The 24868-nt window shown below is 50.2% G+C and overlaps 1 protein-coding gene across 1 annotated transcript; it reads left to right on the forward strand.

The window, feature by feature from the left end:
* F2 (coagulation factor II, thrombin) lies at positions 4421-24714 on the forward strand. The gene is made up of 14 exons (NM_000506.5): positions 4421-4522; positions 4910-5070; positions 5731-5755; positions 5998-6048; positions 8388-8493; positions 8590-8726; positions 11067-11381; positions 11706-11834; positions 11919-12045; positions 13204-13371; positions 13872-14045; positions 14588-14769; positions 24256-24326; positions 24473-24714. Exons 1-14 carry the CDS (start codon positions 4444-4446, stop codon positions 24614-24616), a joined length of 1869 nt encoding a protein of 622 aa, NP_000497.1. The 5' UTR covers positions 4421-4443; the 3' UTR covers positions 24617-24714.

A 24868-nucleotide genomic window follows, 5' to 3' on the forward strand; every position in this document is an offset into this window, starting at 1 on the left:
TAAAGAGAAAAAATTTCAGTCGAAAGGGAAAAAAATTCATTTTTGTCTTAATAAGGCAAATTCACAATTTTTGAGGTTTTAACAAAATATATGCAGAAAGACAAGGCCACCCCGTAGAACGTGCACACAGCCCTAGGCTTGGAAATGGCTGGATTTAATAATATCTGGTCTTTCTTTGAGCCCTGAAATTCTCTAACACTATGTCTTGGAACATAATTTTACTGTTTTCAGTGGTTATAGAGATTTGCTTTACAATTTAGCATTGGTCTTTACCCATGATTTTGTTTGACGCCAACTTGTTGGGCAGGAATGCACCCCCTGCCCCCCGCTTTGTTATGGCCTTGCTCCTATAGGGCAAGAATATCTGCTTTAAGGCCGGGTGTGGTGGCTCAGGCCTGTAATCCCAGCACTTTGAGGGGCCAAGGCGGGCAGATCACCTGAGGTCAGGAGTTTGAGACCAGCCTGGCCAGTATGGTGAAATCCTGTCTCTACTAAAAATAACAAAAATTAGCTGGGTGTGGTGGCACACACCTGTAATCCCAGCTATTTGGGAGGCCGAAACAAGAGAACCACTTGAACCCAGGAGGCGGAGGTTGCGGTGAGCCGAGATTATGCCACTGCACTCCAGCCTGGGAAACAGAGCAAGATTCCGTCTCACACACAAAAAATATATATATGTCTGCTTTAAGTATGCAGGCCGTGTTTGTGCTGAACGGCAGGAATGCCAAACTTGGCTGCATGGTACCAACTAGGGACCTCAGAGTTCCAAGGAGAACAAACAGTTGGTTCCTGGAGGCTGGGGGCTTGTATCAGACCCTGAAGACTAAGCATGTGCTGGGTCCATTGTTGTCCTGCACCCATGGTAGTGCACTAAACACCTAACCTATATTTAAGTGTTTTTGTTTGTCCAAAAAATGTCTTTTTTTTTTGGGAGTCAAGAGTCTTGCTCTGTTGCCCAGGCTGGAGTGCAGTGACACGATCTCAGCTCACTGCAGCCTCCGCCTCCCGGGTTCAAGCTATTCTCCTGTCTCAGCCTCCCAAATAGCTGAGACTATAGGCACGCACATCCATGCCCAGCTAATTTTTTTATTTTTAGTAGAGACGAGGTGTCTCCATGGTGGCCAGGTTGGTCTTGAACTCCTGTCCTCAAGTGATCCACCTGCCTCGGCCTCCCAAAGTGGTGGGATTGCAGGCATGAGACACCGCGCCCGGCCTGCCTTGTCCCTTCTTAAAATGAGTTGTCCATTTGTAAGCTGCTGATTTCTTTGGGACATTGTCTCCGTAAACTTTTCATAAAGCATCAGTGATTTCACCATTCTTCCACCCAAGCTTCACCGTAAATTTGTTGTTTGTTCTTGCTTCAATTTCAGCAGAATTCATTTAGCTCTGATAAGGGCTCGCTTCAAACTGATGTCTTATCCTTCTTAGTGCCTCAAACTACATCCTGTTCACTCATGTTATAGCAAGTTAGTGTGAGTTTATTTTGGTGCACAAAAATTTTTTTAAATCCATGCAGTCTTTTTTCATAATACGCATTTTCCATGAACTTTTCGAAGACCCCTTGTAGATGTCTGTTGTTTAAACCACCCAGTTTACAGTAATTTTTTTTTTTTTTTGAGATGAAGTCTTGCTCTGTCGCCCAGGCTGGAGTGCATTGGCACACTCTCGGCTCACTGCAACCTCTGCCTCCTGGGTTCAAGCAATTTTTCTGTCTCAGTCTCCCGAGTAGCTGGGATTACAGGTGTGTGCCACCATGCCTAGCTAATTTATGTGTTTTTAGTAGAGACGGGGTTTCACTATGTTGGCCAGGCTGGTCTCGAACTCCTCACCTTGTGATCGGCCCGCCTCGGCCTCCCAAAGTATTGGGATTACAGGCGTGAGCCACTGCACCTGGCCTACAGTAATTTTATAGCAGCCCAGGCTAAGATAGCCATTTCTGGGTATAAGAATGTCATATACTGAACAGGCCTGCAACTGTGAGTAAAAGTCTGCAAAGAGGCCGGGCAGTGGCTCATACCTGTAATCCCAGCACTTTGGGGGGCCGAGGCAGGTGGATCACCTGAGGTCAGCAGTTCGAGACCAGCCTGACCAACATGGTGAAACCCCATCTCTACTAAAAATACAAAATTAGCTGGGCGTGGTAGTGCATGCTTGTAATCCCTAGCATGCACTTGGGAGCTACTTGGGAGGCTGAGGCAGGAGAATCACTTGTACTCAGGAGGCCGAGGTTGCAGTGAGCTGAGATCACGCCACTGCACTCCTTTCTGGGTGACAGAGTGAGACTCCATCTCAAAAAAACAAAACAAAACAAAACAAAAACAAACAAAAAAACCCAACAGGTAGGTAGCAGTGGTTCACGCCTGTAATCCCCACTTTGGGAGGCTAAAGTGGGCAGATCACCTGAGGTCAGGAGTTCACGTCCAGCCTGGGCAACATGGTGAAACTCTGTCTCTACAAAAATACAAAAATTAGCCAGGCATGATGGCGGGTGCCTGTAGTTCCAGCTATTCGGGAGGCTGAGGCAGGAGAATCGCTTGAACCTAGGAGGTAGAGGTTGCAGTGAGCCGAGTTCACGCTATTGCACTCCAGCCTCCATCTCAAAAACAAAACAACAAAAACCCAAAATATATATTATAATTTTATTTTATTTATTCAATTTTATTTTATTTTATTTTATTTTTCTAGGAACAGGTCTCATTCAGGCCAGGCATGGTGGCTCACGCCTGTAATCCCAGCACTTGGGAGGCCGAGGTGGAGGTGGGCGGATCACCTGAGGTCAGGAGTTCGAGACCATCCTGGTCAATGTGGCGAAACCCCATCTCTACTAAAAATACAAAAATTAGCCAGGTGTGGTGGCACACGCCTGTAATTCCAGCTACTTGGGATACTGAGTCAGGAGAATCACTTGAACAGGGAGATGGAAATTGCAGTGAGCCGAGATTGTTCCACTGCACTCCAGCCTGGGTGACAGGGCGAGACTCCGTCTCAAAAAAAAAAAAAAAAAAGAAAGAAAGAAAGAAAGAAAGAAACAGGATCTTACTCTGTTACCCAGGCTGGAGTACAGTGGTGCAATCATAGCTCACTGCAGCCTGGAACTCCTGGGCTCAAGTGATCCTCCTGCCTCAGCCTCCTCAGTAGCTCAGACTGCAGGCATGCACCACCATTCCCAGCTAATTTTTAATTTTTTTTTGGTAGAGATGAGGGTCTTGCTATGTTGCCCAGGCTGGTCTCAAACTCCTGGCCTCAAGCGATCCTGCCATGTCGGCCTCCCAAAGTGTTGGGATTACAAGTGTGAGCCACTATGCCTGGCCTAAAAATATATATATGAAAATATATAAGAAATGGGCCTCCCAGGAATTAAGGTGTTTGCGGGAGTCCTGGTCCCCAGTTTTTCTGCCAACACTCCCTGTTCCCACACATGACCTGGTCCAGACCCCAAACAGCCAGGCCCAAAGGACAGGTGAGGCGAGGCGAGAACTTGTGCCTCCCCGTGTTCCTGCTCTTTGTCCCTCTGTCCTACTTAGACTAATATTTGCCTTGGGTACTGCAAACAGGAAATGGGGGAGGGACAGGAGTAGGGCGGAGGGTAGGGTAGGACCAGAAGCCTCTCTAGGCCTGCCATGGGGCAGGCAGCCAGGGAGAAGGAGGGCCCCTCAGTGGAGACCCAGGGATTTCAGTAGCCCCTGTTCCGGGACAGGCGCAGGTCCTGGGAGGTGACAGAAGATAGACTAAAGGCCCAAGAGTCCCTGGACCTGACTCCTCCCAGGCAGCTGCCACACACAAACACACCTCCAGGCACCCTGGACAGGAAGGAGGAGAAATGGGCCCCTCCTCCAGTGGCTGAGAAGCTGGGGCAAATGTTGGCTGTTCCTATCCCTGGTGCATCCCATGGCGAGGGGCAACTTCCATCAGGCCACACCTTTTATCTTTGTCTCTATTTTTGATATCTGTGTATTATGATTATACAAACCCCCACATTGGCCTATATGTGCAGATCTGATTAAGAACTTACGATATTCCATGGACATTCCATTCCTAATCTCCTTTAGTCCTCACAACAAAGTATTATTCCCATTGTATAGATGAGGAAACTGAGGCACACAGAGATGACAAGCAACCACCGCTATATGTTAGGATTCGAAGGAGCTCCAGGAAAGTCTCATAGCCCCACTGGCCAGAATGGGCTAAATCTCAGAGGGGGAGGGTGGGAGATGGGGGTGACAGTGACCTTTTTTGTGACTCCTCCTAGACCATCCATCCCTGCTCCCAGGAGGACCTGTCCTCCCAGATGGTGGAGATGGACAGGAGGACTATCTACCCACCCGTCCCCACGGCCCTGACCCTCTGACCTCACCCTCTCCGCTGATTTCTTCATGTTAGTTCAACATTAACCCAGAGGGGTCAGGACAGACAATTCCTCAGTGACCCAGGAGCTGACACACTATGGCGCACGTCCGAGGCTTGCAGCTGCCTGGCTGCCTGGCCCTGGCTGCCCTGTGTAGCCTTGTGCACAGCCAGCATGGTAAGGGAGTGCTTGCAGGCTGGAACAGGCTGGAGGACTGGGGTGTGGGCCCATGGGCTGGGGTCTCCTGGCTGGACAGAGCACACAGAGCTGGCCCCTAAGTAGGTCTCAGCCCCAGGCGGCCAGCTTAGGGAAGAAGTCAGGAGCTCAGGGCTGGAAAGAGAATGGCTGCTTCTCTCTTCCAATATAGGGAGCAGGCTGGGGGCAAGGGGCAGTGTAGGAGGGGCACAGGGGGCCACATTTAGCAGCCTTCCAGGCACTTCCACCAGCCCAGACAGCCTCTCTCAGAAGCCAGCAGGGGAGGGTGGGCTTGCTTCATGCCCCCAGAATGGCCAAGACTGCCTGTTCCTGAGGCCGCTGTCCCATGACCCCCCCACCGCCTTACAGTGTTCCTGGCTCCTCAGCAAGCACGGTCGCTGCTCCAGCGGGTCCGGCGAGCCAACACCTTCTTGGAGGAGGTGCGCAAGGGCAACCTGGAGCGAGAGTGCGTGGAGGAGACGTGCAGCTACGAGGAGGCCTTCGAGGCTCTGGAGTCCTCCACGGCTACGGTGAGCCTGGGCTGCTCGGACGGTGCCGGGGCCTCAGACCGGGCCCAACTCTAGACACTTCCACAGAGAAGCAAGCGAGGAACGCCACAGCCCCTTCGCTGCTCACAGCCTCATTTCAACTCTGAGCCCCTCCTCACAGGGCTGGCAAGAGGAGCGGCCTCAGCCTTTCCTGGGGGTCTCTGTGCCTGGACTGTGTCCCTGTGCAGCTCCATGACATGGGGAGGCCTCCACAGTCTTCAGACATCCACCTGCCCTGGAGCTCTGTGTCCACATGGCCTCCTCAGCGGCAGACTCCCACACCACCCTTGAGGGGTGGGACTCTGGGGAGGCCACCACAAGCCCCCGGGCTCAAGACTCAGTGTTCCTGGAGCTCTGTGTCGCCTTTCCTGTCTGTAGGGCTCTGCCAGGGTCCCACTGCCCCCTCTCCTCCCATCTCCCCCAGCCTCTTTCAGTCTCGGTGTGTGTGTTGGAGGAACTCCCCTATCCTCAAATATTCTTCTCCTTTTGGAAACAAAAGTAGGAAACTCTGCCACAAACCTCCCCAGAGCCTGCCCCCTGCGTGACCAGGGTAAAGGAAAGTGTGAGGAGGAGACATAACATTTACTAAAACAACACAAAACAGGAGCTGCCGTAGCCTCACTCCCAGCCCTTGTTTTTCAGGATGTGTTCTGGGCCAAGTACACAGGTGAGCACCGGGAAGGATTTGCCCCAGGAAGGGAGGCCTGGGGACCCCAGTGAGAGAATTCTACCCAGAGAATCTTCTGCTGCACCTAGCCATCCACCCATCCACCCCTTCCCCACTCCTTCCTTGGTCCCTCCCATCTGTTCATCCATCTTTCTGTTTCTCACCAACATCCCATCCACCCTGACTCCAGCTCATCCTGGCCATACCCCAATCCCAAAGGTAAACACCTGGGTCTTTTCCAGCTTGTGAGACAGCGAGGACGCCTCGAGATAAGCTTGCTGCATGTCTGGAAGGTGAGCAACTGACACGGGTTTGGGGAGCAGGACATGGAGGGGAGCCTGGGAGAAGAGCTCAGGGGTGGGTTTGGAGTGTGGCTGGTGGAGGCCGAGGCAGTCCCCAGCATCTGACATTGCTCCCATTCCTGGGGTCAAGATGTCTCTTTGTACCTGGCTCTGTGTCTGGCATGCGAACGAATGAATGAATGAATGGACTAATGAATTAATGTTTTTTTTTTTGAGACAGAGTCTCGCTCTGTTGCCCAGGCTGGAGTGCAGTGGCACGATCTTGGCTCACTGTAAACTCCGCCTCCCGGGTTCAAGCAATTCTCTGCCTCAACCTCCCAAGTAGCTGGGATTACAGGTGCTCGCCACCACGCCTGGCTAATTTTTGTATTTTTAGTAGAGACGGGGTTTCACCATGTTGGCCAGGCTGGTCTTGAACTCCTGACCTCGTGATCCACCCACCTCGGCCTCAAAGTGCTGGGATTATAGAAGTGAGCCACCGCGCCTGGCCATGAATTCATGTTTAAGGCTTCATTCTCCTTTGCCTGACCCGAGTCTCTGCCCCCACCTAGTCAGAGCTTTGATGATGTCACATTCCCCTTCTAGCTTTAGGTGTCACTGAACCAAACAGGAACCCAAACCCCCAGCTGCTCTGACACCAAGGACTTCCCTAAGCATGCCAAGGTGTTTCTAGCACCTGGCCTTGCATATGTTGTCAATTTCCTCTGGAGCGACCATCACATCTACTGAACACTTTCCTATCCTTCAAGGACTGCTTCAAATGTCACCACTTTTGCTGAGACTTCAGGGAGCACCCTCCCTCCTGCACTGTGTTCTGAAGGCACCTTTAGCACGACAAAAATGGAACTCTTTGTTTATTTATAAGAGACAGGGTCTCCCTTTTTTGCCCAGGCTGATCTTGAACTCCTGGGCTCAGGCAATTCTCCCATCTCAGTCTCCCAAAGGAGTAGGATTATAAGTGTGAGCCACCATGCCTGGCTGCCATACTTTCATTTTTTTTTTTTTTTTTTTGAGGTGGAGTCTCACTCTGTCGCCTAGGCTGGAGTGCAGCAGCGCGATCTCGGCTCGCTGCAACCTCCGCCTAGCGGATTCAAGTGATTCTCCTGCCTTAGCCTCCTGAGTAGCTGGGATTACAGGCACACACTACCATGCCCAGCTAATTTTTTGTATTTTTTAGTAGAGACGGGGTTTCACCATGTTGGCCAGGCTGGTCACAAACTCCTGACCTCAGGTGATCCACCAGCCTCAGCCTCCCAGAGTGCTGGGATTACAGGTGTAATCCACTGCGCCCAGCCTCATTTGTTAAATTACGTACTCAACAGACATTTTACAAAGTTCCTGCTACGTGCCAGGCACTATATCAGGTGCTGGGGATTTTAAGAGAATCAAATACAGTCTCTGCCTTCAAGGAATTCAAAATCTCAAAAGAGAACAAAAATACAAAATATTAAAATGATTGCGGCCGGGTGTGGTGGCTCAAGCCTGTAATCCTAGCACTTTGGGAGCTGAGGTGGGCGCCCAGGCCAGGGGTTTGAGACCATCCTGGCCAACATAGTGAAACCCCCAACCTCTACTAAAAATACAAAAATTAGCTGGGGTGTGGTGGCACGCGCCTGTAATCCTAGCTACTAGGGAGGCTGATGGGGGAGAATTTCTTGAATCTGGGAGGCAGAGGTTGCAGTGAGCTGAGATCATGCCACTGCACTTCAGTCTCGGCAACAGAACAAGACTCATCTCAAAATACATAAATAAAAATAAATAATTCAATAAAGTGATTGCAAGAAAAGTTCTGTTCAAGGCACCAAGAGACCACAGGAAAATGAGTGTCTGGTTTGCCAGAAAAATGAGAGATGGCTTCCCAGGAGAGGCAGAGTTCTGCCTGGCCTGGTGGGATGCATGGATGAACAAACAAGTGGGCATTCCAGTCAGAAGAAACAATCCGTGGAAAGACCCAGAGGCATGAGAAGCTGAGCTAGCAGGGACAGGTAGACCAGGGCCAGTTGAAAAGGACCTTCATCACTTTTTCATCCTGCTGGCCAAGAGAAGCCACAGAATGGAAGCTCCATGAGGGCAGGGCTGTGACTGTCCTATTGGTTGATGTGTACTGAGCACCCGACAGTGCCTGTCATATGGTAGGCACTTAGCGAATATTTGGAGGCCACTGTTGAGTGAATGGGAGAACTGCTGGTTGCAGAGGAAGAGGGGCTGGGTGAATGCAGGTTCAGGATTGTGGACCTGCATGAGCTGGGAGGTGGGGGATAGACAACTTTGCAGGGAGAGAGGAAATAAGTCCCCAGGCTCCAAGGCTGACCGGGGTGGGGTCTCCGCAGGTAACTGTGCTGAGGGTCTGGGTACGAACTACCGAGGGCATGTGAACATCACCCGGTCAGGCATTGAGTGCCAGCTATGGAGGAGTCGCTACCCACATAAGCCTGAGTGAGTGAGGGGCCGGCCTTCCCACCATGGGCTGAGAACAGGGAGCAAGCGTACCTCAAGCCCAACAGCCTCCTGTTGGGCAATTTCCTGTTCCAGAATCAACTCCACTACCCATCCTGGGGCCGACCTACAGGAGAATTTCTGCCGCAACCCCGACAGCAGCACCACGGGACCCTGGTGCTACACTACAGACCCCACCGTGAGGAGGCAGGAATGCAGCATCCCTGTCTGTGGTAAGCTGGGGGCAGTGGGGCGGCCCATGGCCAAGGCCCGGGGGCTTCATGGGGCCTGGCAGCCTGGGATGGGAACCAAGAATACTGGCTACCCAGGCACAGTGGCTCATGCCCGTAATCCCAGCACTTTGGGAGGCTGAGGCAGGCAGATCACCTGAGGTCAGGGGTTTGAGACCAGCTGGGCCAACATGGCAAAACCCCGTCTCTACTAAAAATACAAAAATTGCCAGGCGTGGTGGTGGGCGCCTGTAATCCCAACTACTCTGGAGGCTGAGGCACGAGAATCGCTTGAACCCGGGAGGCGGAGTTTGCAGTGAGCTGAGATCCTGCCACTGTACTTCAGCCTGGGCGACAAGAGCAAAACTCTGTCTCAAAGAAAAAAAAAAGATGCTGGCCACCTTCAGAGCTGGCGTCAGTCATTCAGATCATATCTGTGCCTATTGCTCAGTAAAGTCAGGGAATCAGGGGATCTGAGTGGGGGGATCTGCCAGCCTCCTCCTCCCCCTCCCCACTCTTGACTTCCTTATGGTCCAGGCTGTGGCTCATTCCAAACATGCCTCCTTTCTGATCAAGGCACTCCTCCCTCCGGGAAGCCCTCCCTAGCCATTTCAGTCCACACACCCTGTTCTGAGTATCACAGAGCAAGCCTTGTGCAGTTTGGCCCTGCGGGATTCTGTCATTATTATTTCCTTGGTGTGTTAAGTAGCTATAGCCACCCCTTCCCTGAGGCAGACCACAATAAGCATTTCTTTTTCCCATGAGGGTTGGCAGGTGTGGCTGCACTCGCTAATGCGTCTGTAGGGTCAACTGACGGAGGTTGGCCCTGGCTGGGTGGCTCTGATTCAAATAATGGGTCCAGCTGAGTCTGGCTCCTCGTTGAGGGTTGGGCCTAGATCTGCTCCACGTGCGTTCATGCTGGGGCTGAGGCTGAAAGAAGGTACCTGGGAAAACTCTTCTTATGCTGATGACAGACACAGAAAACAATGAACAGAAAAGCGTCTTCTGTCCTGAAGGCCTGGCTCAGAACAGGCACAGTCAGCCCTGCCCACGTTCCATTGGCCAGAGCAAGTATATGTTCAAGGCCAGGGTCAAGAGGTAAACTACACCTCAGCCTGTAAAATCACAGAGCAAGGGATGTGGATGCAGGCAGGGGTAAAGAATTTGTGCCGATTACCAGTCCACAAACATGGGTTAGTGTTTGTTCTCTAGGCATCCCTGTCGGGCCCATTGCTCATTCCTGGGGTTGGTCTTTTTTTTTTTTCTTTCTAAGATGGAGTCTCACTCCCTTGCCCAGGCTGTTGGAGTGCAGTGGCCCTATCTCAGCTCACTGCAACCTCCGCCTCCTGGGTTCAAGCGATTCCCCTGCTTCAGCCTCCTGAGTAGCTAGGATTACAGGCGTGTGCCACCACTCCTGGCTAATTTTTTTTTATGTTAGTAGAGACGGGGTTTCACCATGTTGGCCAGGCTGATCTCAAACTCCTGACCTTGTGATCCTCCCGCCTCGGCCTCCCAAACTGCTGAGATTACAGGGGTGAGGCACTGCGCCCGGCCTTTTTTTTTTTTTTTTTTGAGATGGAGTCTCACTCTGTCACCCAGGCTGGAGTGCAGTGGCATAATCTTGGCTCACTGCAACCTCCACCTCCTGGGTTCAGGCGATTCTCTGCCTCAGCCTCTCATATAGCTGGGATTACAGGCACACGCCACCACGCCTGGCTAATTTTTGTATTTTTAGTAGAGACGGGGTTTCTTCATGTTGGCCTGGCTGATCTTGAACTCCTGACCTCCGGTGATCTGCCCAGCTCGGCCTCCCAAAGTTCTGGGATTACAGGTGTAAGCCACTGCGCCTGGCCCCTGGAATTGGTCTTATAGCAAGTTTATCCCAACAAAAACAGCTACTATTTACTCCCCAACCCCCATACACACGCACACACATTGATGATAAATAAGTTGCAGGCTTGCAGAAATTGACCCATCCAGGTGAACAGCCTAGTGATCCCAGCAAGCGTCCTGCTGTGCAGCTATAAAAACATGACTCCTCCAGCAGCTCCAGGCAGCCACTACCAGTTAATTACAGATGGCCTAGGAGGCCAAACCTGGTTACTATCTCTGGTTTATTATGTGCCAGACACTTATGCTGTATATTTTGTTTAATCCTCTCAACAAACCTGCAAAAGTGGCATTAGTAACCCCTTTAAAGGCAAACGGTCAGAAGCCCAGAGAGGTTAAGTAACCTGAGGTCACACAGGCAGAAAGCAGCAAGACCGGGGTTCACACCCCTGTCTGTTCCGGTCCATGTGTGGTCTCACTCACTCTGCTGCCTCCTTGCCCCTCACCCACCAGGCCAGGATCAAGTCACTGTAGCGATGACTCCACGCTCCGAAGGCTCCAGTGTGAATCTGTCACCTCCATTGGAGCAGTGTGTCCCTGATCGGGGGCAGCAGTACCAGGGGCGCCTGGCGGTGACCACACATGGGCTCCCCTGCCTGGCCTGGGCCAGCGCACAGGCCAAGGCCCTGAGCAAGCACCAGGACTTCAACTCAGCTGTGCAGCTGGTGGAGAACTTCTGCCGCAACCCAGACGGGGATGAGGAGGGCGTGTGGTGCTATGTGGCCGGGAAGCCTGGCGACTTTGGGTACTGCGACCTCAACTATTGTGGTGAGCTGCCTGGGTAGGGGGCCTGAGTTGCAGGGACAAATCCTGGTGGGAATAACAACAGCCGCTTCTGCTTATCGAACGCTTACCTCATTGAGTGCGCTCATTACAGCCTTACAGTAACCAGGTGGGGGGTAAGGTCCTGTGCCCATTTCACAGATAAGTACACTGAGGCCCCAGGAGGTTATTGCCTAGTAGCCCAACTGTGCATGCACGCTTAACCTCTGCACCAAATGGCCTCCAAGGCCCGTAGGGGAATTGGGGGGATCTAGGGGATGGGTGAGGAATGGCCCAGCCCAGTCCCAGCCGGTGCCTGGGTCCCAACAGAGGAGGCCGTGGAGGAGGAGACAGGAGATGGGCTGGATGAGGACTCAGACAGGGCCATCGAAGGGCGTACCGCCACCAGTGAGTACCAGACTTTCTTCAATCCGAGGACCTTTGGCTCGGGAGAGGCAGGTGAGGTAGTGGGCATCCGAGGGGATGCGGGGCTGCGGGGCTGGTGGCCAGGACTTGCCCCTCACTGCTTGGCTTGCTCTGCAGACTGTGGGCTGCGACCTCTGTTCGAGAAGAAGTCGCTGGAGGACAAAACCGAAAGAGAGCTCCTGGAATCCTACATCGACGGGCGCATTGTGGAGGGCTCGGATGCAGAGATCGGCATGTCACCTTGGTGTGTCCTGGAGCCCTGCGCTACCATTCACTCCTGGGGGCAGGTGTGCTGCTGGACCCCCACCCTCAGGCCCTGCCTGCAGGCCTGGGCTTTACAGATGACAACAGCTGAGCATCCAGGATCCCACCAACTCCACACAGCAGCCACATGAGATGGGTTGTTTACTTCTTTTTTTTTGTTTCTTAGATGGAGTCTTGCTCTGTCACCTAGGCTGGAGTGCAGTGCTGCAATCTCGGCTCACTACCTCGATCTCAGCTCACTGCAACTTCTGCCTTCCGGGTTCAAACGATTCTCTTGCCTCAGCCTCCTGAGTAGCTGAATTTACAGACATGCGCCACCACACCCGGCTAATTTTTGTATTTTAAGTAGAGACAGGGTTTCACCATGTTGGCCAGGCTGGTCTTGAACTCCTGACCTCAAGTGATCCACCTGCCTCAGCCTCCCAAAGTGCCGGGATTACAGGCATGAGCCACCACACCCGGCCCATGGGTCCTTTACTTCTAAGCAGATGGTAAAGCTGAGACTGACGGAGCTGGTGGCTCACCTCCGCGCACAGCTAATGGGTTTGAATCCAGTTCTTCTGATTCCAGAGCTGTGCTACGCTATGTGAACTCTGGACTGGAAGGACCTAGTTAGGGGGTGCAAAAAGCAGGAGGCAGGTCAGGTGCAGTGGCTCACCCCTGTAATCCCAGCACTTTGGGAGGCCAAGACAGGAAGATCACTTGAGGGCAGGAGTTCGAGGCCAGCCTGGGCAAAATGGTAAAACCCCGTCTCTACTAAAAATGCAAAAATTAGCCAGGTGTAGCAGCATGTCCCTGTAGTCCCAGCTACTAAGGAGGCTGAGGCGGGAGGATCGCCTGAGCCCAGGAGGCTGAGGCTTCAGTAAGCTGTGACTGTACCATTGCACTCCAGCCTGGGTGACAAGAGTGAGACCCTGTCTCAAAAATAAATAAATAAATAAATAAAAAAGTGTGAGGCAGCCCCTCAGCATCACACGGAGGCTCCAGGCCCCAAAGGCGGCCAGCCCAAGCTTGGATCTGGGCCCCGGAGGCAGCTCTGCCCAGCTGGGTTCTTAGACCTGGGATTGTTACTTCTAGGGCTGGTGTAGAGGCAGCCCCCTCATCCTCAGCTCCTAATGCTTCCTGCTGCCCCTCCCAGGCAGGTGATGCTTTTCCGGAAGAGTCCCCAGGAGCTGCTGTGTGGGGCCAGCCTCATCAGTGACCGCTGGGTCCTCACCGCCGCCCACTGCCTCCTGTACCCGCCCTGGGACAAGAACTTCACCGAGAATGACCTTCTGGTGCGCATTGGCAAGCACTCCCGCACCAGGTACAGAACTGGTGGCCCGTGGGTGTCTGGCAGGGGTCTGAGTCCTCCAAAGCGATCATGAGGGGCCCTGGTGGCTCCGGGACACATAGGATGTTCTGTATACCCCCCAGAATATAACATCCCAGCAGTCTCTGCTGGAAAGCCCATTTGGTCACGTCCTGACTGAGGCTTGGAGCTGCGGGGAGAAATCCGTCTGTCTCCTGGTCCCTCCAACACTAGGATATAGCCCATGTGGGAGTCTCTGAAAATAGAGTCTGTCTGGACTAGGGCGTGCAGCCTGTGCCCCTGTCCCCGTCCTCCAGGCTGTCTGACTCCAAAGCCCTGCACGGCTTTAGGCCCAGGAAGAAACACCCAGGGGGCTGCCATGGCAGGAACCAGCCCTATCCCCTCCCTGGTGGCCTGCAGGACACACTGTCTCCCAGACCCCAAGGGCAGGCAGTTTCCTGCTCCTTGCTGGGTGAACCTGCAGCTTCTCCATTTCTTTCTTGGGGTCTCTGCAGGTACGAGCGAAACATTGAAAAGATATCCATGTTGGAAAAGATCTACATCCACCCCAGGTACAACTGGCGGGAGAACCTGGACCGGGACATTGCCCTGATGAAGCTGAAGAAGCCTGTTGCCTTCAGTGACTACATTCACCCTGTGTGTCTGCCCGACAGGGAGACGGCAGCCAGGTGGGCCACCAGATGCTTGTTAGCTGAGGGGCAGAAGCCAAGTTCTGGGCCTGGCTCTGATACCAAGTAGCCTTGCAAGAGCCCCTTTCCCTTTTCCAGGCCTCGGTTTCTTGGAGTGAACCCAAAAGTTCTTTTCAGTACTGGCGTTTTATTTTTTATTTATATTTATTTATTTACTGACGGAGTTCCACTCTTGTCTCCCAGGCTGGAGTGTAGTTGTGCGATCTTGGCTCACTGCAACCCCACCTCCTGGGTTCAAGCGACTCTCCTGCCTCAGTCTCCTGAGTAGCTGGGATTACAGGCTAATTTTTGTATTTTTAGTAGAGACTGGTGGGTTTCACCGTGTCGGCCAGGTTGGTCTCGAACCCCTGACCTCAAGTGATTCACCCGCCTCGGCCTCCCAAAGTGCCGAGACCACAGGCGTGAACGTCTGTGCCCAGCCAGCTCTGGCGTTTTAGATTCTGGTCTCTAAGAAATGGCGTTGGGGCCAGGCGGCTCCTGTGGGGGTTGGCTCTCACTAGGCCCTTCTTCCTTCCCCAAAGCTTGCTCCAGGCTGGATACAAGGGGCGGGTGACAGGCTGGGGCAACCTGAAGGAGACGTGGACAGCCAACGTTGGTAAGGGGCAGCCCAGTGTCCTGCAGGTGGTGAACCTGCCCATTGTGGAGCGGCCGGTCTGCAAGGACTCCACCCGGATCCGCATCACTGACAACATGTTCTGTGCTGGCAAGTCTGTGCAGGGCGGGCTGAGGGAACAGTGGGGCCCAAGCTGGGAGAACTGAGTTGTGCCTGGGTTCAAGCCATGTGACTTTGAGCAAGTTGCCTAACCTCTTGGTGGCTCAGTTTCTTCCTCTGTAAAATGGAGGTAAAAGTCTCTATCCCATAAGGTTATGGGAGGGTTAAATGAAGTAGTATATATTAATGTACTTGGCATAGTATCAGTCACCAGTGAGCTCAGATAGCAGCAAGAGGCTGCGGGTAGGGAAATGCCATTCATTCAGTCACTCAGCAAATATTTATTGAGCGCCTATCACGTTCCAGGCAGCGTTCTAGGGTATACAGCAGGGACCCAGACGGACAATGTCTGTGCCCTCAGAGAGCTTCCTTCCTAGGAGGGCACATCCATAAACAGATCTAAAACAGCAATCCCTGACCAGTGCTGTGAAGAAAAATGAAGCACAGGGAGAGAGAACGGCTGATGAAGTGGGCTTCTAAATAGGGTGGCCAGACAAGGTGGGCAGATCACTTGAGGTCAGGAGTTCAAGACCAGCCTGGCCAACATGGTGAAACCCCGTCTCTACTAAAAATACAAAAATTAGCTGGTCATGGTGACGCATGCCTGTAGTCGCAGCTACTCAGGAGGCTGAGGCAGGAGAATTGCTTGAGCCAGGGAGGCGGAGGTTGCAGTGAGCTGAGATCGGGCATCATTGCACTCCAGCTGGGCAACACAGCAAGACTCCATTGATCGATCGATCAATCAATCAATCAGGTGGCCAGAGAAGGTTGGAGAAGGCCTCCCTGAGAAGGTGATGTCTGGGCAGGGACTGGAAGAGGGGAAGGAAGGAGTGAGCAGGCATATCTAGGGGAGGAGCACCGCAGGCTGGGGGCATGGCAGGCACTAAGGCCCTGAGGTGGGAGCACTCTTGGCTTGTCTGGGGAGCAGTAGGGAGGCCTGGGGGGCTGAGGAGGGGCAGCAGTGGGTGAGGGGAGAGAGGGGGGCAGGCAGAGGACAGCCACTTCCTTTAGGGCCTGGAAGGACTTTATTGAGTGAGATGGGAAGTTATTGAGGGGCTTGAGGCAGGTTAAGAAATGATGTGACTGACTTTAAAAGTAAAAAATAAAAAAATTTAGTGTAATTTCAGACTCACAGAAAAGTTGTAAAAATAATACAAAGATTTCCTGTATACTGTCATCCAGATTGTCCTCCATTCTGTGGATGTGTGGGAATTTTTATATATATATATGCATAGTTTGAGAGCAAATCATGAATATGGTTTCTTTTTACCCATAAATACTTGAGTATTTCCAAAAAAAAAAAAAATACCCAAGGATGTTCTCTTATGCAACCACAATACAAATATTAAAACCCGGAAATTTTTTTTTGACATAGCTTCGCTGTCACCCAGGCTTGAGTGCAGTGGCACAATCTCGGCTCACTGCAACCTCCTGCTCCCAGGTTCAAGTGATTCTCCTGCCTCAGCCTCCTGAGTAGCTGGAATCACAGGCATGTACTACCATGCCTAGCTAATTTTTGTATTTGTAGTAGAGACAGGGTTTCACCATGTTGGCCAGGCTGGTCTTGAACTCCTGACCTCAGGTGATCCACCTGCCTCGGCCTCCCAAAGTGCTGGGATTACAGGCGTGAACCACTGTACTCGGCCAAAACCAGGAAATTTTTTTTTTTTTTTGAGATGGAATCTTGCTCTGTTGCCCAGGCTAGAGTGCAGTGGCATGGTCTCGGCTTACTTGGAATTACAGGTGCCTGCCACCACGCCCGGCTAACTTTTTGTATTTTTAGTATTTTTAGTAGTGATGGGGTTTCACCATGTTGGCCAGGCTGGTCTTGAACTCCTGACCTCGGGTAATCCACCCACCTCGGCTTCCCAAAGTGCTGGGATTACAGGCGTGAGCCACAGCACCTGGCCCAAAACCAGGAAATTAATGATGATACAATATTATTGTCTAATCTATAGACCTTATTCAAATTTTTGTTAGTCTTGCTAATGTCTTTTATAGGGAAAAAAAAAAAAAAAAGCGTGTTTCTCACCCAGGATTCAATGAAGGATCTTTCTTTGTCTTCTATGACCTTGACATGTCTGATGAGTGCAGTCTGGTTATTTTGTACACTGGCCCTGAATCCGGGTTTGTCTAAGGTTTCCTCACGGTCAGGTTCGGGCTCAGTGGTGCCATGTCCTTCTTGGTGCATCCTGTTAACTGGCACATGAGAACAATTTGTCTCATATGTGGTGAGTCTAACTCTGACCTCTTGAGGAAGGCAATGTCTGCCAAGTTTCTTGCTGTAACTTCTGTTTTTCCCTTTGTAATTAATAAGAATCTGGTAAAGAGACACTTTGATGTTTTTTTTTTTTTTTTTTTTTTGTGATGGAGTCTCCCTCTATCACCCGGGCTGGAGTGTGTGGTGCGATCTCGGCTCACTGCAACCTCCATCCCCCAGGTTCAAGTGATTCTCCTGCCTCAGCCTCCCAAGTAGCAGGGATTACAGGCATGTGCCACCACACCCAGCTAATTTTTGTATTTTTAGTAGAGATGGGGTTTCACCATGTTGGCCAGGATGGTCTCGAACTCCTGACCTTGTGATCCGTCTGCCTCAGCCTCCCAAAGTGCTGGGATTACAGGTGTGAGCCAATACGCCTGGCCTACTTTGATATTTTGTATTCTGTTTGCATCAAAACCTTCTCCCAACTAGGGTGACTACCAAATGGCACTTATCTAATTCTGTCATTCCTTCTACATTTGTTAGTTACTTTATTGCTTTCCTTCCTTTCATTCTATCAGTGTGGACTTAAGGATCCTTACTTTATTCTAAGGGTTCACCTTTTTTTTTCTTTTTTTTTGAGATGGAGTTTCGCCCATGTTGCCCAGGCTGGATGGAGTGCAATGGCGTGATCTCGGCTCACTGCAACGTCCTCCTCCCAGGTTCAAGCAATTCTCCTGCCTCAGCCTCCTGAGTAGCTGGGATTACAGGCATGTGCCACCACGCCTGGCTAATTTTTTGTATTTTTAGTAGAGACAGGGTTTCACCATGTTGGCCAGGCTGGTCTCGAACTCCTGACCTCAGGTGATCCGCCCGCCTCAGCCTTCCAAGGTTCTGGGATTATAGGCGTGAGCTCTACCGTGCCAGGCCATACTTTGTTACTACTGTTATTTTTTCTGATGCTCAGATGATCCCAAGTTTGGCCTGTGGAAGTCCCTTCAAGCTGGCTTCTGTGACTTGGGGAGATGTTCTGTCATTCTTTGAGTACTTTCTTTCTTTCTGGCACAGCAAAATGATTCAGGTTAATCCTACTTTCCTTACTGTAGTGTTGGAACCAGCCATTTCTCCAGGGAACCCTTGTAGTCAAGAGTGGAATTTAGAACTGAGATCTGGGTGCTGGCGTGTGCACATTGCTAGTGGGATGTCATTACTTCTAGGCTCTCTTAGTGGACAGAACCAGAAAAAAATTATATGATGCATATACCAATATCTCTATCATCTATATAAAAAACCATGAGTTCCTACTGAAACCTCCAATTCCATTCTAACACCACAGGATTAATTTTAGCTTTTCCTTTTCCATATTTGTAACTCTCTCTGTTGACAGTGAGAAACCTGACCCTCATTATCTGTAATGCATTTGCCTATTTGAACAATACTAGAATATAGTTTCAAAATCCTCCATCCATAACACTATTAAAACCAATCCTATGGCTGGGCTCAGCCCACTGCAACCTCTGCCTCCTGGACTCAAGCCAGCCTCCCACTTTAGCCTCCCGAGTAGCCAGGGCTACAGGCACACACCACCATGCCCAGCTAATTTTTGTATTTTTTGTAGAGACTGGGTCTCACTGTGTTGCCCAGACAGGTCTTGAACTCTGAGCTCAAGTGATCCATCCAACTCAGCCTCCCAAAGTGCTAGGATTACAGGTGTGAGCCACCATGCCTGGCCTCTCCTAGTAAATTTTTAGAAGTGGTGTTGTTAGGTCAAAAGGCAAACATGTATGTCATTTTTTAGAGATTTTTAAATTTCTTTCCATAAGGGTTGTACCAGTTTGCATTTCCATCACAGTGTATGAGAATGCCTGTTTCCCCACAACCTTGCCAAAAGAATGTCACAGTTTTAAATTTTTACCAATCTGAGAGGTGAGAAATAGTATCTTGAAATTGTTTTAACGGACATCTTTCAAATTGAAAATGAGGTTGAACATCGTATCATATGATTAAGGACCTTTTTTTTTTTTTTTTTTTTTTTTGAGATGGAGTCTCCCTCTGTCACCTAGGCTGGAGTGCAATGGCACGATTTTGGCTCACTGCAACTTCCGCCTTCTGGGTTCAAGCGATTCTCCTGCTTCAGCCTCCCAAGCAGCTGGGACTCCAGGCGCGAGTCACCATGCCCGCTAATTTTTGTATTTTTAGTAGAGACAGGGTTTTACCAGATTGGCCAGGCTGGTCTCGAACTCCTTACCTTGTGATCCTCCCGCCTCGGCCTCCCAAAGTGCTGAGATTACAGGCATGAGCCACCACGCCTGGCCTAAGGACCATTTTTATATAATTTTTTTTTTGAGACAGAGTCTTGCTTTGTCACCCAGGCTGGAGTGCAATGGTGCAATCTTGGCTCACTGCAGCCTCCACTTCCCTGGTTCAAGTGATTCTCCTGCCTCAGCCTCCCGAGTAGCTGGTTCCACAGGTGCGTGCCTGGCTAGTATTTGTATTATATAATTTTTTTGTGAATTGTCTCTTCATGGTTTTTTGCCCATTTTTTGGTCCCTTTCTTATCAATTTTTGTGAGTTCTTCGTATTTATATTAGGCCTTTATTTGTGATATACATTGCAAATGTTTTCTCCTAGTTTGTCAGTTTTTTTAACCTCATGTATAATTTTTCTGGCCATGCAGTTTAAAAAATTACTAGGTAGTCAAATTTATCAATCATTTATTTTATTAAATCTGGATTTTGAATCAGAGATAAACTTTTCCTGGCCAGGTGTGGTGTCTTACACCTGTAATCCCAGCACTCTGAGAGGCTGAGGTGGGGGATCACCTGAGGTCAGAAGTTCAAGACCAGCCTGGCCAACATGGTGAAACCCTGTCTCTACTAAAAATACAAAAATTAGCTGGGCGTGGTGGCTGATGCCTGTAGTCCCAGCTACTCAGGAGACTGAGGCTGGAGAATTGCTTGAACCTGGGAGGCGGAGGTTGCAGTGAGCAGAGATCGTGCCGCTGCACTCCAGCCTGGGTGACAGAGCAAGACTCTGTCTCAAAAACAAAACGACAAAAAACAACAACAGAAAAGCCTTTCCTGATAGCTAGGTCATTGAGGAATTCACTCATGTTTTCTTCTAGTACCTGATTTCATTTTTCTGCACTTAGATTCCTGACTCATATGGAGTTTATTTTTGTATCTGATGTGAGGCATAGATCTAATTTATTATTTTCCAAATGGCTAACTAGCTGTCTCTAAACCCTTTATTAAAAATTATTGGCCAAGTGCGGTAGCTCACACCTGTAATCCCAGCAGTTTGGAAGGCTGAGGCAGGATTGCTTGAGGCCAGGAATTCAAAACCAGCCCAGACAACATAGCAAGACCCTGTCTCTACAAGAAAATATTGGTCAGGTGTGGTGGCTCACGCCTATAATCCCAGCACTTTGGGAGGCTGAGGCAGGTGGATCATGAGGTCAGGAGATAGAGACCATCCTGGCCAACATGGTGAAACCCTCGTCTCTACTAAAATACAAAAAATTAGCTGGGTGTGGTGGCGCATGCCTGTAGTACCAGCTACTCAGGAGGCTGAGGCAGGGGAATCATTTGAACCCAGGAGGTGGAGGTTGCAGTGAGCTGAGATCACGCCATTGAACTCCAGCCTGGCGACAGAGCAAGACTCCATCTCAAAAAAAAAAGGAAAAAGAAAATATTTTAAAAATTAGCTGGGCATGGTGGCATGTGCCTTGTAGTCTCAGCTACTTGAGAGGCTGAGTTAGGAGGATTGCTTGAGCCTAGGAGTTCAATACTGCAGTGAGCTATGACCGCACCATTGCACTCCAGCCTGGGCAACAGAGTGAGACCCTGTTTCTATTAAAAAAAAAAAATCGGCTGGGCGCGGTGGCTCACGCCTGTAATCCTAGCACTTTGGGAGGCCGAGGCGAGCGGATCACCTGAGGTCAGGAGTTCAAGACCAGCCTGACCAACATGGAAAAACCCTGTCTCTGCTAAAAATACAAAATTAGCCAGACATGGAGGCACATGTCTGTAATCCCAGCTACTCGGGAGGCTGAGGCAGGAGAATCGCTTGAACCTGGGAGACGGAGGTTGCAGTGAGCTGAGATCCCTCCATTGCACTCCAGCCTGGGCAACAAGAGTAAAAACTCCGTTTCGCCAGGTGCGGTGGCTCACACCTGTAATCCCAGCACTTTGGGAGGCCGAGGTGGGTGGATCACAAGGTCAGGAGTTTGAGACAAGCCTGGCCGACATGGTGAAACCCCATCTCTACTAAAATACAAAAAATTAGCCTGGCATGGTGGTGTGCGCCTGTAATCCCAGCTACTTGGGAGGCTGAGGCAGGGGAATCACTTGAACCTGGGAGGAGGAGGTTGCAGTGAGCCGAGATGGTGCCACTGCACTCCAGCCTGGCAACAGAGCGAGACTCTATCTCAAAATCAATCAATCAATCAATCAATCTTTGAACTAGTGATTTGAGATTTCACCTTTATCACATTCTAGATTGTATCTTATTTTCATTTATTTATTTGAAATATAGACAAGTCTCCCTGTGCTGCCCAGGCTGATTTCAAACTCCTGGCTGGGCTCGAGCAAGTCTCCCGCCTTGGCCTCCCAAACTGCTGGGATTACAGACGTGAGCCACCATACCTGACCTAGGTTTTATTTTTTAGTTTTATTTTTTCCTGCATCCAGCTAATTTGATTTGATTTGTAGAGACGGGGTCTTGCTATGTTACCTAGGCTGGTCTCGAACTCCTGGGCTCAAGTGATCCTCCTGCCTTGGCCTCCCAAAGTGTTGGGATTACCAGCATGAGCCACGGTGCCCAGCCCCACGTTCTAGATTTCTATGGATAGAGTATGCTTAAGGATGAGTATGTTTCTGGATGTTCGACTCGGCTTTCCTGGTCTGTTGTCTGTCTGTGTACAGCGTCACATTGTTTTAATGATAGAGGCTTTAGCGTACATAGCTGGGAAGGCTAATGTTCTCTTTTAGTTTTTCTTTCCAGTGGTTTCCTGGCAATTCTTGCATGTTTGTTTTTCCATATGAACTTTAGTGTCAACATGCCTAGGTCTATAAAAAAGCTTGGTGGTAATTTTATTGGGATTATGACACTTCAACAAATTAACTGGGAGAATGGACATATTTTTGATGTTGAGTCATTTTATCCAAGGATAAGAAACGTTTTCCTATTTGCTCAAGTCTATTATTGTATCTTTCTTGACTGCTGCAATGTATTCTCTTATAATTTTTTCTATTGGTATCTTATTTTATGTATTTGTAATATCTTATTTTTCTTGAGTAAATTAGTTAATGGCTTGCCGGTTTTCTCAAAACAAATATCTAGGGATTTGATTTATGAAATTATTAGGCCTATTATTTTTCTTTTTTTTGAGATGGAGTCTCACTCTGTCGCCCAGGCTGGAGTGCAGTGGCGTGATCTCAGCTCACTGCAACCTCCACCTCCTGGGTTCAAGTGATTCTCCTGCCTCAGCCTCCCCAGTAGCTGGGGTTACAGGTGCACGCCACCATGCCCGGCTAATTTTTTTATATTTTTAGTAGAGACGGGGTTTCACCATGTTAGCCAGGCTGGTCTCGAACTCCTGACCTCATGATCCGACTGCCTCAGCCTCCCAAAGTGCTGGGATTACAGGTGTGAGCCACCGTGCCTGGCCTTTTTTTTTTTTTTTTTGAGACAGAGTCTTGCTCTGTCACCCAGGCTGGAGTGCAGTGGTGCGATCTCGGCTCACTGAAAGCTCCACCTCCCGGGTTCACGCCATCCTCCTGCCTCAGCCTCCCGAGTAGCTGGGACTACAGGTGTACACTGCCACGCCCAGCTAATTTTTTGTATTTAGTAGAGACAGGGTTTCACCGCGTTCGCCAGGATGGTCTCGATCTCCTGACCTTGTGATCCGCCTGCCTCAGCCTCCCAAAGTGCTGGTATTACGGGCGTGAGCCACTGCGCCCGGCCAGGCCTATTATTTTTCTATTGTGGTTCATTAATTTCTGCTTTTTTCTCTTAAAAAGTTTGCTTACGTTTTTGTCTGGTTTACTTTGCTGTTCTCTTGCTAGCTTTTTTTTTTTTCAGATAGGGTCTTGCTCTGTTGCCCAGGCTGGAGTGCAGTGGCACAGTCATAGCTCACTGCAGCCTTGAACTCCTGGGCTCAAGCAATCCTCTTCTTGCTTCAGCCTCCCACGTAGCTAGGATCAGAGGTACATGCCACCATGTCCGGCTAATTTTTTTTTTTCGAGACAGAGTCTTGTTCTGTCGCTCAGGCGGTAGTGCAGTGGTGCAATCCCGGCTCACTGCAACCTCCACCTCCACCTCCCAGGTTCAAGCAATTCTACCTCAGTCTCCTGAGTAGCTGGGATTATAGGCGCACACCAACATGTCTGGCTAATTTTTGTATTTTTAGTAGAGACAGGGTTTCACCACGTTGGCCAGGCTGGTCTTAAACTCCTGACTTCATGATCCGCCCGCCTTGGCCTCCCAAAGTGCTGAGATTACAGGTGTGAGCCACAGCACCTAGTGAAGGTGTGGTTTTTTTGTGTAGGTTTTACTGTTGTTAGTGTTGTTCTGTATTGTTTGTAGAGGATACGTGGGGAGATTTGGATAAAAGCAACTATCATTATTATCCTCATCAGACTTGTAGGTCTAACTTTTTAATTTTTTAATTTTTAATTTAAATTTTTTTCTTGGTCTTTTATCATTAATTAATTTTTTCGAGACAGGGTCTCACTCTGTTGCCCAGGCTGGAGTGTGGTGACATGATCACGGCTCACTGCAGCCTTAACCTCCCAGGCGCAAGTGATCCTCCTCTCTTAGCCTCCCGAGTAGCTGGGACTCCAGGCATGTGCCACCATGCCCAGCTAATTTTTTGTAGAGAGAGGGTTTTGCCATATTGCCCAGGCTGGTCTTGAACTGCTGAGCTCAAGTGATCCACCCGGCTTGGGCATGAGCCACCTCCCCTGGTCTGGTCCAACTTTTTAAAAGCATTATTCTGCCTGTTGGGTGGAGAATAGACTGTAGGTGGGCAAAGAATGAAGGAAACTAGTGGGTTCAGGAGCTCGAGCTAGAAGTGGTGAGAAGGGTTTGGATTTGGGGTCTATGCTGAAGGTAGAGCCGACAAGATTTGCTAGGATTGGATGGGTAGGGTGAGGAAGTGGGGACAGCAAGAATGACTGGAGGGGTAAGTGGACTCTCACCAGCTGTGTCTCGTGAAGGGGCGTGGCTGGGCTATGAGCTATGCTCCTGAGCACAGACGGCTGTTCTCTTTCAAGGTTACAAGCCTGATGAAGGGAAACGAGGGGATGCCTGTGAAGGTGACAGTGGGGGACCCTTTGTCATGAAGGTAAGCTTCTCTAAAGCCCAGGGCCTGGTGAACACATCTTCTGGGGGTGGGGAGAAACTCTAGTATCTAGAAACAGTTGCCTGGCAGGGGAATACTGATGTGACCTTGAACTTGACTCTATTGGAAACCTCATCTTTCTTCTTCAGAGCCCCTTTAACAACCGCTGGTATCAAATGGGCATCGTCTCATGGGGTGAAGGCTGTGACCGGGATGGGAAATATGGCTTCTACACACATGTGTTCCGCCTGAAGAAGTGGATACAGAAGGTCATTGATCAGTTTGGAGAGTAGGGGGCCACTCATATTCTGGGCTCCTGGAACCAATCCCGTGAAAGAATTATTTTTGTGTTTCTAAAACTATGGTTCCCAATAAAAGTGACTCTCAGCGAGCCTCAATGCTCCCAGTGCTATTCATGGGCAGCTCTCTGGGCTCAGGAAGAGCCAGTAATACTACTGGATAAAGAAGACTTAAGAATCCACCACCTGGTGCACGCTGGTAGTCCGAGCACTCGGGAGGCTGAGGTGGGAGGATCGCTTGAGCCC

This window comes from Homo sapiens, chromosome 11 (genome assembly GCF_000001405.40).
Source record: "Homo sapiens chromosome 11, GRCh38.p14 Primary Assembly".
In the NCBI taxonomy this organism is placed as follows: Eukaryota; Metazoa; Chordata; class Mammalia; order Primates; family Hominidae; genus Homo; species Homo sapiens.

Bases quoted from the DNA above. Each gene is read 5' to 3' on its own strand.
- F2 (NM_000506.5), top strand. From the start codon at position 4,444: ATGGCGCACGTCCGAGGCTTGCAGCTGCCTGGCTGCCTGGCCCTGGCT. The intron at 8,494-8,589 runs GTGAGTGAGGGG...TTCCTGTTCCAG, and splicing joins CGCTACCCACATAAGCCTGA to AATCAACTCCACTACCCATC. The intron at 8,727-11,066 runs GTAAGCTGGGGG...CTCACCCACCAG, and splicing joins ATGCAGCATCCCTGTCTGTG to GCCAGGATCAAGTCACTGTA.